Here is a 13,148-nt window from a genome sequence, read left to right as displayed (position 1 = left end):
ATAGATTTCATCAAAATTAAGCACTTTTACTCTGTGAAAGACCCTGTTCAGAGGATGAAAAGGCATAGAGTGGGAGAAAATATTTGCAAACTACGTATCTGATAAAGGACTAGTATCTAGAATATATAAAGAACTCCCAAAACTCAAAAATAAATAATCTAAATAAAAATGTGCAAAAGACATGAAAAAGCACTTCAGTAAAGAGAATATACACATTGGAAATAAACTTGGGAAAGGATGTTCAATATCACTAGCCATTAAGGAAATGCAAACTAAAACTACAATGGGCTATCCCTGTACACTTATTCCAAATGGCTAAATGTAAACAGTTGCTACACCAAATGTAGAAGAGGATGTGGAGAAACTAGATCACTCATGAATTGCCAATGAGAATGTAAAATGATTCAGTTATTCTGGAAAACAATTTGGTAGTTTTTTTTTTTTTTCCCTGAGACGGAGTCTTGCTCTGTCACCCAGGCTGGAGTGCAGTGGTGTGATCTCGGCTCACTGCAACCTCTGCCTCCTGGGCATGGTGGCGTACGCCTATAATCCCAGCTACTTGGAAGGCTGAGGCAGGAGAATCGCTTGAACCCGGGAGGCGGAGGTTACAGTGAGCTGAGATCGTGCCATCGCACTCCAGCCTGGGTGACAGAGTGAGACTCCATATCAAAAAAAATAAAAATAAAAAAAGAGAGAGAGGAAAAAGAGGTTTAATTGATTCAGTTCTGCAGGCTGTGCAAGCATGGCTCCAGCATCTGCTCCTGGTGAGGGCCTCAGGAAGCTTCAAATCCCAGCAGAAGGAAAAGGGAGAGCAGGGATGTCACATGGTGACAGCAGGAACAAGAGAGCAAAGCGGGAGATGCCACACACCTTTAACAACCAGATTACAGATGAACTCACTCATCACCAAGGGGATGGTGCTAAGCCGTTCATGAGGGATCTGCCTCCATGATCCATTCACCTTCCACCAGGCTTCAACTCCAACACTGGGGATGACATTTTGACGAGATTTGGAAGGGACAAATATCCAAACCGTATCACCATATTTTGTGTTTTGTTTAGGTTTGTTTTTTTGTCACCCAGGCTGGAGTACAGTGGTAGGATCATAGTTTATGGTAGCCTCGAACTCCTGGCTTCAAGCAATCCTCCTACCTCAGCCCCTCGAGTAGCTGGGACTATAGACACGTACCACCATGCTTGGCTATTTTAAACAAATTTTTGTAGAGATGCTATCGGGCAAAATTCACCCCTGATATTTCACGTAGGTTCTTTTCTATTTTCCCTAAGTGTCGGCCGGTCTGAGAAATAAAGGGACAGAGTACAAAAGAGATAAATTTTAAAGCTGGGTGTCCGGGGGAGACGTCACATGTCAGCAGGTTCCGTGATGCCCCCTGAGCCATAAAACCAGCAAGTTTTTATTATCGATTTCAAAAGGGAAGAGAGTGTACGAATAGGGTGTGGGTCACAGAGATCACATGCTTCACAAGGTAATAAGATATCACAAGGTAAATGAAGGCAGGGCGAGTTCACAGGACCACAGGACCGGGGCGAAATTAAAATTGCTAATGAAGTTTTGGGCATGCATTGTCACTGATAACATCTTATCAGGAGACAGGGTTTGAGAGCAGACAACCGGTCTGACCAAAATTTATTAGGTGGGAATTTCCTCATCCTAATAAGCCTGGGAGCGCTACAGGAGACTGGGGCTTATTTCATCCCTACAGCTGTGACTGTAAAATACAGCCACCCCCCAAGTGGCCATTTCAGAGGCCTACCCTCAGGGACGCATTCTCTTTCTCAGGGGCGTTCCTTGCTGAGAAAAAGAATTCAGCGATATTTCTCCCATTTGCTTTTGAAAGAAGAGAAATATGGCTCTGTTCCGCCCGGCTCACTGGCAGTCAAGAGTTTAAGGTTATCTCTCTTGTTCCCTGAACGTTGCTGTTATCCTGTTCTTTTTTCAAGGTGCCCAGATTTCATATTATTCAAACACACATGCTCTACAAACAATTTGTGCAGTTAATGCAATCATCACAGGGTCCTGAGGCGACATACATCCTCCTCAGCTTACGAAGATGACGGGATTAAGAGATTAAAGACAGGAATAGGAAATCACAAGGCTATTGATTGGGGAAGTGATAAGTGTCCATGAAATCTTCACAATTTATGTTCAGAGACTGCAGTAAAGACAGGTGTAAGAAATTATAAAAGTATTAATTTGGGGAACTAACAAATGTCCGTGAAATCTTCACAATTTATGTTCTTCTGCCACGGCTTCAGCCGGTCCCTCCGTTCGGGGTTCCTGACTTCCCTCAACAGATGCAGTCTCACTATGTTGCCCAAGCTGTTCTCAAACTCCTGGCCTCAAGCAATCCTGACATTATAGGAATGAGCCACCATGCCTGGGTGACAGACCACCTTCTGTTTATCCACTTATCAACAGATAGCCATTTGGGTGTTTTTAGTTTTTGGCTATGGTGAATAATGCTGCTATGAACATTTGCATACAAGTCTTTGTGTGGAAAAAAATTTCTTCAGGGTAAATACCTAGGATTGGAATTGCTGGATCATATAGTAAGTCCACGTTTAACTTTTTTTTTTTTTTTTAAATACGGTCTCATTATTTTGCCTAGTCTGGTCTCAAACTCCTAAGCTCAAGCAATGCTTCTGCCTCGGCCTCTTACAAGTGAGTACCACCACTCCTGGCCATATTTAACTGTTTAAGAAACTGCCAGACTGTTTTCCCAAATGGCTACACCATTTTACATTCCCACCAGCAAAGTATAGAAAGTTCTAATTTCTCTATATCCTTGCCAACACTATCTTTTGTCTTTTTTTTTTTTTTTTTGAGATGGAGTCTTGCTCTGTCACCCAAGCTGGAGTGAAATGGCATGATCTGGGCTCACTGCAACCTCCACCTCCCGGGTCAAGCAATTCTCCTGCCTCAGCCTCCCTAGTAGCTGGGATTACAGGCATGCACTACCATGCCCAGCTAATTTTCCTATTTTTAGTAGAGAGGAGGTTTTACCACGTTGGCCAGGCTGGTCTCAAACTCCTGAACCCAAGTGATCTACTGGCCTTGGCCTCTCAAAATGCTGGGATTACAGGTGTGAGCCACCGTGACTGGCTGTGTCTGCCTTTTTCACTCTAGCCATTCTACTGGGTGAGAAATGGTATCTCACGAGGGTTTTGATTTTTATTTCCCTAATGGCTCATGATGTTGAATGTCTTTTCATGTACTTATTGGTCACCCGTATATCCTCTTTGGAGAAATGGTTATTCAAATACTTTACCCATTAAAATAAAAATTTCATCTTTAAGAGCAGTTTCGAGTTCACAGCAAAACTGAACAGAAAATACAGGGTTCCCCCACCCCACACACACTCATAGCCTCCCCCCACCAACAACATCAGGCACCAGAGGATATATTTGTTATAAGCAATGAAGCTACATTGACACACCAGTATCACCCATATCCCATAGTTTACATTAGGTTTCATTCTTGGTGTTGTACATCCTGTAGGGTTTGACAAATGTGTAATAACATGTATCCACCATTATAACATCCAGAGTAATTTCACTACCCTAAATATTCTCTGTGCACCACCTCTGTGCATTTCTCCCCACTCCCAGCCCCTGCCATCTTTTTTATTGTCTCCATAGTTTTGCCTTTTCCAGGATGTAATATAGTTGGAATCATACAGTATGTAGCTCTTTCAGATTGTCTTCTTTCACTTACTAATATGCATTTAAGGTTTCTCCATGCCTTTTCATGGCTTAATAGCTCATTTCTTTCTAGTGCTGAATATAGTCCATTGTCTGGATATACCAAGGTTTATTTATCCATTTACCTGCTAAAGGACATCTTGGTTGCTTTCAAGTTTTGGCAATTACAAATAAAGCTGCTGCTGGCCGGGAGCGGTGGCTCACGCCTGTAGTCCCAGAACTTTGGGAGGCCAAGGCGGGCAGATCACGAGGTCAGGAGATCGAGACCATCCTGGCTAACATGGTGAAACCCCGTCTCTACTTAAAATACAAAAAATTAGCTGGGCTTCGTGGCAGGCGCCTGTAGTCCCAGCTACTTGGAGGCTGAGGCAGGAGAATGGCGTGAACCCAGGAGGCAGAGCTTCCAGTGAGCCGAGATCGCGCCACTGCACTCCACCCTGGGTGACAGAGCGAGACTCCATCTCAAAAACAAAAACAAAAACAAAAGCTGCTGTAAACATCCATGTGCAGGTTTCTGTGTGGACATAAGTTTTCAGCTCATTTGGGTAAACACTAAGGAATGCAATGGCTGGATCTTCTGATGGGAGTATGTTTAGTTTTGTCAGAAAGCCAAACTGTCTTCCAAAGCTGCTGTACCATTTTGCGTTCCTACCAGTAAGGAGAGTTCCTGTTGCTTCACATCCTCACCAGCATTTGGTGTTGTCTCCCTTGCCCATTTCTAAACTTGGCTATTTGTCTTTTCATTACTGAGTTGTAAGAATTTTATGTATCCTAGATACAAGTCCCTTATGGAACATGTGATTTGCAAAAATTTTCTCCCAGTTTGTGGGTTGTTTAGAGGTCTTTTTTTTCTTTTCCTTTTGAGACAGGGTCTCACTCTGTCGCCCAGACTGGAGTCCAGCGGCGCAATCTTGGCTCACCGCAACCTCCACCTCGCGGGCTCAAGCGATCCTCCTGCCTCAGCCTCCCGAGTAGCTGAGATTACAGGTGCCCACCACCATGCCGGCTAATTTTTGTATTTTTAGTAGAGACGGGGGTTTCACCATGTTGGCCAGGCTGGTCTCGAACTCCTGACATCAGGTGATACACCTGCCTTGGCCTCCCAAAGTGTTGGGATTACAGGAGTGAGCCACTGCGCCCCATTTTTTTTTTGAATGTTGAACACAATGAATTTATCATGATAGTGGGTACTTCTGAAGGAGGCAGGGGTATACACAAGGTTAGAATCATACAGGTAGATATCATGGTATAGGTGCTGCGAGAGTCAGAAAACTGACTCTGGCACCAGCTGCCTGGGCTTCAACCCCAATGCTGTAAAGTAACTTAGTCTCTTTGTGCCTCAGTTTTCTCATCTATAAAATGAGTATATCAGCCGGGGGCAGTGGCTCACACCTGTAATCCCAGCACTTTGGGAGGCTGAGGTGGGTGGATCACCTGAAGTCAGGAGTTTGAGACCAGCCTGGCCAACATAGCAAAACCCCGTCTCTACTAAAATACAAGCATTAGCCATGCATGGTGGTGCGCACCTGTAATCCCAGCGATTCGGAAAGCTGAGGCAGGAGAATGGCTTGAACATGAGAGGCGGAGGTTGCAGTGAGCCGAGATTGCACCATTGCAGTCCAGCCTAGGTGAGTCTCACTCTGTCTCAAAAAAAAAAAAAAAAAAGGGTATATCAACACAATCTCACTGGTGTGTTGTGAAGCCTAGCCAAGTTAATGTACCTAGAGAACTAGAGAACAGTGGCTACTAAGGACATCTAAGGACACTTTATACAAACCTTAACTGTGTTACAACTTCTTAAGTCAGTACTGAGGTTCAAAAGCTTCCATTTTATTATTATGCTTTATAATTTATATATGTTACGTGCTTTCTTTTGTATAGCTCACTTGAATATATATATACATTTTAGAAGATAATAAGGAAGAAAAAAAGTATATCTGGTTTTTTAACCCTTCGAAATGGGAAAGTTTGGAGTAGATGCTCAGCCCCGGCCCCTGGCCCTTCCCCAATACTCACAGGCTCCTGTCAACTACACCTTCAGAAAAAGACGGAGCCTCTTAGGCAGCAGTCAGGCAGGTGGGGGCGATCTGTCAGGTGACCTAGACTCTGGGCCATCTCAGTTTCCTCACCTGTAAAATGGGGATGCTGAGGTACCTACCTGACCTATGAGAGCGGAGAACACTGAGATATCTTGCCCATGGCCTGCCCTGTGGTTAGCTGTCGTTTTTTCCTTGACACTTGTAGGCTCCTCTTCATGTTTACATAACCTCAGTGGGAAAACGCCAGCGAAGAGAGACACTCAGAATGGACGATCTAAAGTTCCTTCCAGCTTCCAAATTCTGGGCTGGTTTTCAGAGATCCAGGGCTCGGGATGCGAATGTCCCTGTCTACGATGGGGCTGCCGTTACAGCCTTCCTCCCGGGGCTCTGGAGACGCGCCAGCTCTTTGACACCTCTCCTGCGCTAAGGAAGAGTTGGTTTACAGAAAAGTAAGTATATCCTGGCCCTGCAGAAAGCCGCCAGGCGGCAGGACAAGCCCCACCGCAGCCCAGGCGCCATTATCTGCCTCAGCAGTTACCTCGGGGTCCCGCCACGAGGAGGTTCTTCAAGGCCTGCGCGCCCACGGACACTACCAAGGAGCGCGGCGGGCAGCCGGATAGCAGGACGCTGAGGGAAACCCCGCAGTCGCTCGGCGTCCCCGGCGCCAGCTCACGACCCAGCGACCTCCTGCGGCCCGAGCGTCCCCTGGCGGCAACGCCGGCTCGTTAGAGCGAGCGACAGATGGTGTAGTCCAAAGGCCAAGCGGCGTTTCTGTAGATGAGCATGCGCAGCACCCACCGTTCGCTCAGCCAGAGAGAGGCTTCCCAGCCAATCCGAGAGCCTCAGAGTCATCCTCCCGCCCACCCAGCATACAGGCGGGGCGTTCCTCCTTAGCCAATGGGAAAAGACATTCGCCCGCGGTCCGCACGCGCTGCTTGCAAAGGGGTGGGGTTGTGGAGTGGATGCTTTGGCAAGATGGCGGGGAGCGGCGTCCGCCAAGCTACTTCTACCGCCAGCACCTTCGTGAAGCCCATTTTCAGTCGGGACATGAACGAGGCCAAGCGGAGGGTGCGCGAGCTCTACCGCGCCTGGTATCGGGAGGTGCCGAACACTGGTGAGAGGTAGCGGCTTACGTGGGGACCCGGAGGCCGCCGCTCAAGGTCGTAGCCGGCCCGGCCGGGGTTTCTCATGGGCCCAGCTGAGGTCACCAACTTGGGCAGAGGCGACTGCGGGTGCTTCAGGGGAAGAGGGTCACCCGAGCCTACCATGGGCCGGACCTGGCGGCGGCGCGGTGGTCAGACCGGCCGTGCCTAGCATTCGTACGTGCTATCGGAGCTTTGGTCTCTTTTGTCCTTCGCAATTGGCGGGAGGACGATGACTGTCAGTGACACACTCACTTTGTGGGTGAGGCAGCGGAGGCACCGAGAGGTGAAGTGATGTGCCCAGGGCCCAGGCCGAGCCACTGTTGTACCCAGAACCCAAAGTCTAGAGTTGCAGAGTGTAATTATAGATGCCCGTTGGATTTTTTTGTTTGTGACAGAGTCTCGCTGTGTCGCTCAGGCTGGAGTGCAGTGGTGCGATCTCGGCTCACTGCAAGCTCCGCCTCCCGGATTCACGTCATTCTCCTGCCTCAGCCTCAGCCTCCCGAATAGCTGGGATTACAGGCGCCCGCCACCACGCCGGCCATTTTTTTTTGTATTTTTAGTAGAGACGGGATTTCACCGTGTTAGCCAGAATGGTCTCGATCTCCTGACCTCGTGATCCGCCCGTCTCGGCCTCCCAAAGTGCGAGAAAGAGGTGTTTTTGAGTGAGCTGGAGCACGGTGCCACTCCTCAGGGCTGTCGAGTCCCTGCTTGTGTGTGTGAAAAGGCGGTAGAATGTGGTGGTTAGGAGCACGGACTTTTCTTCAGGCGCTGCCCTCAACTAGCTGTGTGACCTTGGGCCAGTTATTTCATCTATTCCTCAGTTTCTTCATCTTTAAAATGGGAATAATAATTCCTTCTTCAGAAGGTTACTGTATTAAGTTAAAATATCTAGAGTGCTTAGAACAGGACTTGATGCATATTTAACTCATTAAATATTAGCTGCTGCCGTTGTTTTTGTTGTTATTTTTGTTATTTATAGGGCTTTCCTTAGCAGCAGCTTCCAAGCAGAACCCGGTTCTTTGACATATGAGAACTGTGTCTGCTCCACAGAGTCCCTGTCTTCAAGCTGACTTTTGGAAAAATTGCTACTGACCAGAACTTAAACCCACGCGATACTAGAGAAGGAGAAACTTGAGTGATCTGCTGGTTCAGGGACTGCAAATTCAGATGCCTTCAGGGGCAGGCAGATAAAAGATGTGTGTGGGGAGTGACTGTAGCAGTGTGTGTGTGTGTGTGTGTGTGTGTGTTTCGGGGTGGTGCATTCAAATTCAGCAGTTTGAAAACATAATGTTTGCCTGGCAGAATACTTCTAGGAGTACCCAGAACCCTCTCTGGTTGCAGGAGGAAGGTGCTGGGGGAAGGAGGACCACATTCAAAAAGGGTGGCTTGTGAAGGGTAAATCAGTGGCCAAGTAGAAGACAGAACCCAGGTATCCTGACTCTGAGGATCCAGCTCTTTCTAAACCGACCCCTCCCAAGACCTTCCCTCAAATTCTGTTTTGGGAAGAAAGTCCCAAAGTCAGAAGGGTCTTGAGAGGAGGAAAAGAAGGCAGAGGGCTACAGGAGCCTAGAAAGCAAGGGAAGAGGAGAGAAAAGAAGGGGTCAAGGAGTATGCATCCCTATGGGGAAGATCAGTGATCTGTAGCTGGCCAGTTACTCAAACCTGTGCCACACGGGTTTTATGGTATCCATCATCAGGACTCCAGCTGAGGAATCAAATCAAGGAAGGGGAATAAGTAATAGTGTTGAGAACTTAGAACAGCCTGAGCATTAATAAAAAACAAAAGTAAAATTTTAAGTATTTAATGAAAAAAACAGTAATGATAACTCACTTTTTTTTTTTTTTTTTTTTTTGAGACAGAGTCTCGCTCTTGTCTCCCAGGCTGGAGGGCAATGGCGCGATCTTGGCTCACTGCAACCTCCACCTCCCGGGTTCAAGTGATTTCCCCATGCCTCAGCCTCCCGAGTAGCTGGGATTATAGTTGCGTGCCACCACACCTGGCTAACTTTTGTATTTTTAGTAGAAACGGGGTTTCACCATGTTGGCCAGGCTGTCTTGAACTCCTGACCTCAGGTGATCCACCTGCCTTGGCCTCCCAAAGTGCTGGGATTACAGGCGTGAGCCACCGCGCCCAGCTAATAAAATAATAATTATTTTTTTTGAGACGGAGTCTCGCTCTGTCGCCCAGGCCGGACTGCGGACTGCAGTGGCGCAATCTCGGCTCACTGCAAGCTCCGCTTCCCGGGTTCACGCCATTCTCCTGCCTCAGCCTCCTGAGTAGCTGGGACTACAGGCGCCCGCCACCGCGCCCGGCTAATTTTTTGTATTTTTAGTAGAGACGGGGTTTCACCTTGTTAGCCAGGATGGTCTCGATCTCCTGACCTCATGATCCACCCGCCTCGGCCTCCCAAAGTGCTGGGATTACAGGCGTGAGCCACCGCGCCCAGCCTTTTTTTTTTTTTTTTTTTGAGACACAGTCTCACTCTGTCACCCAGGCTGGAATGCAGTGGCCCATCTCAGCTCACTGCACCCTCCACCTCCCGGGTTCAAGTGATTCTCCTGCCTCAGTCTCCCGAGTAGCTGGGATTACAGGCACCCACCACCATGCCCGGCTCATGTTTGTATTTTTAGTGGAGACGGGGTTTCACCATGTTGGCCAGGCTGGTCTTGAACTCCTGACCTCAGGTGATCCACCTGCCTTGGCCTCCCAAAGTGCTGGGATTACAGGCGTGAGCCACCGCGCCCAGCTAATAAAATAATTATTATTTTTTTTGAGACGGAGTCTCGCTCTGTCACCCAGGCTGGAGTGCAGTGGTGCGACCTCGGCTCACTGCAAGGTCCACCTCCCGGGTTCACACCATTCTCCTGCCTCAGCCTCCCGAGTAGCTGGAATTACAGGCACCCACCACCACACCCGGCTAATTTTTTGTATTTTTAGTAGAGACGGGGTTTCACTGTGTTAGCCAGGGTAGTCTCGATCTCCTGACCTCATGATCCGCCCACCTCGGCCTCCCAAAGTGCTGGGATTACAGGCGTGAGCCACCGCGCCCAGCCCATAAAATAATTTTTTAAAAAATACACTCAGGCACAAGAAAGTTAACTTACACGGGATCATATAGCTAACAAAAGCTGGGATTTGAACCCAGGTTGTTCAAACTCTTGAACAATGCTTTACTGCCTCTTCAAATTCAGTGGTCTTTTTCCCCAAACAAATAATAAGTTCCTTGAGAGCAAATACCATGAATCACATGTCTCATCCTCAAGCACCTAGCCTAGGGTCAGGCTAATTTTTTGGTGAAGAAATGAATGGGCGACCTGTATGTGTTCAATGAGTATCATTTGACTCTAGGTTTTATTTAACCATACAATTTCTACCCTGAGTCATGTTTTTCTCTCTAGTGCACCAATTCCAGCTGGACATCACTGTGAAAATGGGACGGGATAAAGTCCGAGAAATGTTTATGAAGAATGCCCATGTCACAGACCCCAGGGTGGTTGATCTTCTGGTCATTAAGGTAACTGACCCTCCCTGACCAATTTAAAAGATCAGCCAACTTGTCCACTACTTCTTAGTCTTTCCAAATGAACATTTTGTCTCCAAGTTTAGAAAGCAGCTACTGGTTCGGCAGTGATTATTGCTGTGTTTCAGAGAAATACTTGAACTTGGAGGTTATCATCTGGTTAAATAGATAAGATTCATCAAGGGAACATCCACTGGGACTTGCATTTTATAACCATAAAAAAAGATATAGGGAGGAAAGTTTGAACTCTTCTTGAACCTCATCCCTAGAAGTTACCACTTCATCTGAATGCCAGTTTACAGCTGGAAGAGGCAGTTAGGGTGGTTATGAGTCCTGTATAAATGGACTCAAATCCTGGGGCTGATTCTGTCCCCCTGGCCAGTCACGTTAGCATCAATGGGAGCTTCAGCATAGACCAGTCAGTAACAGAAGAAATGATAAGCAGAAACATAAGTTAAGCCAGTCAGGTTAGGTAGTCATGGGATAGGAGCCTGTTAACCTGTATGTTTCTCCTCTTGGTACCAGTTAACCACAGAGTTAAAGAATCTGAAAAGTGTCAGAAATGATTTACCCTGACCACCTCATTGTCCAGACATAGAAACTTTGCCCAGACAGAGTAGTTACTTGCCCAAGGTCATTCAACAAGTCCATGCTGAGCAGAGAATAGAATCCTGGCCTTCAGTGTCATATGCCTTCAACTTGACAACTTTGACTGATGACCTCTCTCCTCACTGTTCAGGGAAAGATCGAACTGGAAGAAACAATTAAAGTATGGAAGCAGCGGACACATGTTATGCGGTTCTTCCATGAAACAGAAGCGCCAAGGCCAAAGGATTTCCTATCCAAGTTCTATGTTGGCCACGATCCATGAAGTCATTCAGTGGAAAGATGCACGTTGATACTATTTTAGAGCACAAATAAACTCACTATACAATGGTCACTTTGTGATAGAATTCCATTGATGAACCAATTTTCTGCAGCCTCTTTTTGCCTGAGCAAGTGGGACCTTGGTATACACATCACCTGTTCTTTCCCTTTTCTTGAAATGTGGTGTTTGCTGTAAATTGGATTGAATTATTTTTCTCAGAGCCTTGCATGTCAGTAAACAGGAAGGAAGGAGGCCATCTGTTCAAAAATTGTGACATTGGGCATGAGGCTGGACGACTTGTTAATGTAGTTGTTTCTATAGCCCCTATGATTAGACACTTCAGTGTCAGGGCACAGATTATCTAAAATTAGCCAGCTCTTCCTGTCAGGGATCAGGGCAGCACTAACAGGCGCAAAAGTAGAGCTGTCAAGATGGGCTAGTTTTCCTTGGGTTCTGAAGAAAATGGATGTGCAAAGGCTTGGCTCCGCTACTTGTAACAAGCTCCAGCCCTTAAAATGAAATTAACTTCCTACTCAGGCACCCTGCTTAGGTGCACAGCTGTTCAATATACACAGAGAACAGAAATATTCCTACTGTCTTTGGAAACCCTGGTGTACCTCTCAGTGGCAGAATAAACATCAACACAGGTTCAAGAACTGATCTCTGTTTGGATGGTGGTCTTCTCTTGTGCTTCCCAGGGCAATCCAAATGATGGAGAAGGGGTTTGGAATCTATAGGTATGATCACTGAGGACTCCCATACTTTTTTTTTTTTTTTAAATAGAGATGGCGTCTCTCCATTGCCCAGGCTGGTCTTTTTTTCTTTTCTTTTTTTTGAGATGGAGTCTCGCTGTTGTTGCCCAGGCTGGAGTGCACTGGTGTGATCTTGGCTCACTGCACCTTCCACCTCCTGGTTCAAGTAATTCTCCCTGCCTCAGCCTCCCAAGTAGCTGGGATTACAGGCATGGACCACCACATCCAGCTAGTTTTATATTTTTAGAAAAGACGGAGTTTCACCATGTTGGCCAGGCTGGTCTCAAACTCTTGACCTCAAGTAATCCACCCGCCGTGGCCTCCCAAAGTGCTGGCGTGAGCCACCGCGCCCAGGCCAGTCTTGAACTCCTGGGCTCAAGTGATCCTCCTGCCTCCGCCTCCCAAAGTGTTGGGACTACAGGCATCAGCCATTGTGCATGGCCCCAAACCTTATGGCACCAAGGATCCCTTTATAATCTTTTCACGTAAGGAACCTGAGGGAAAAACTCAAGGTGTTTTTGTGTTCTCTCACTCAATAACAATAAACACATAAGACTTCTGTGATCAAACGTTATGAGGGTTTCTCCCCACACTAAGCAAGCAGTCAGTTCTGCAGCAGACACCAGCTGCCTGTCCTCCAATTCTCTTCGAACACTATCTACCTGGAGATAGCAACAGATTCCACAGGTTTGGGGCTCAGTCCCACAAGACTGCTCCCACCCCCATTAGACAACATTCACAAGTCCAAGCCTCCAGAACTTCTGAGCTTCAAGTTCCCATGACCCCTTCTTTTTTTTTTTTTTTTTTTGAGATGGAGTCTCACTCTGTCGCCCAGGCTGGAGTGCAGTGGTGCCATCTCGGCTCACTGCAAGCTCTGCCTCGCGGGTTCACGCCATTCTTCTCCTGCCTCAGCCTCCCGAGTAGCTGGGACTACAGGTGCCCGCCACCACACCCGGCTAATTTCTTCTATTTTTTAATAGAGACAGAGTTTCACTGTGTTAGCCAGGATGGTCTCGCTCTCCTGACCTTGTGATCTGCCCGCCTTGGCCTCCCAAAGTGCTGGGGTTACAGGTGTGAGCCACCGCACCTGGCTGACCCCT

The 13,148-nt window shown here is 47.3% G+C and overlaps 1 protein-coding gene and 1 long non-coding RNA gene across 2 annotated transcripts in view; one reads left to right on the top strand and one right to left on the bottom strand.

Annotated features, from left to right (window-relative positions):
- The window catches only part of NDUFA6-DT (NDUFA6 divergent transcript), a 34,417-nt gene extending 27,868 nt beyond the window's left edge, over positions 1-6,549 (bottom strand). Inside the window, exons 1-3 of the long non-coding RNA NR_034118.2 lie at positions 6,301-6,549; positions 5,882-6,185; positions 5,250-5,363 (exon numbers count right to left, since the gene is read on the bottom strand). This is a non-coding gene — a long non-coding RNA (NDUFA6 divergent transcript). The remainder of the gene's footprint in view (positions 1-5,249; positions 5,364-5,881; positions 6,186-6,300) is intronic.
- Positions 6,710-11,956, top strand: NDUFA6 (NADH:ubiquinone oxidoreductase subunit A6). The gene is made up of 3 exons (NM_002490.6): positions 6,710-6,876; positions 10,307-10,422; positions 11,168-11,956. The coding sequence occupies exons 1-3, from the start codon at positions 6,738-6,740 to the stop codon at positions 11,297-11,299; spliced, it is 387 nt and encodes a 128-aa protein (NP_002481.3). The 5' UTR covers positions 6,710-6,737; the 3' UTR covers positions 11,300-11,956.

This window comes from Homo sapiens, chromosome 22, assembly GCF_000001405.40.
Source record: "Homo sapiens chromosome 22, GRCh38.p14 Primary Assembly".
Lineage (NCBI taxonomy): Eukaryota > Metazoa > Chordata > Mammalia > Primates > Hominidae > Homo > Homo sapiens.
The sequence above is the reverse complement of the archived record's forward strand: the minus strand, read 5'-3'. Positions and strand labels throughout refer to the sequence as shown.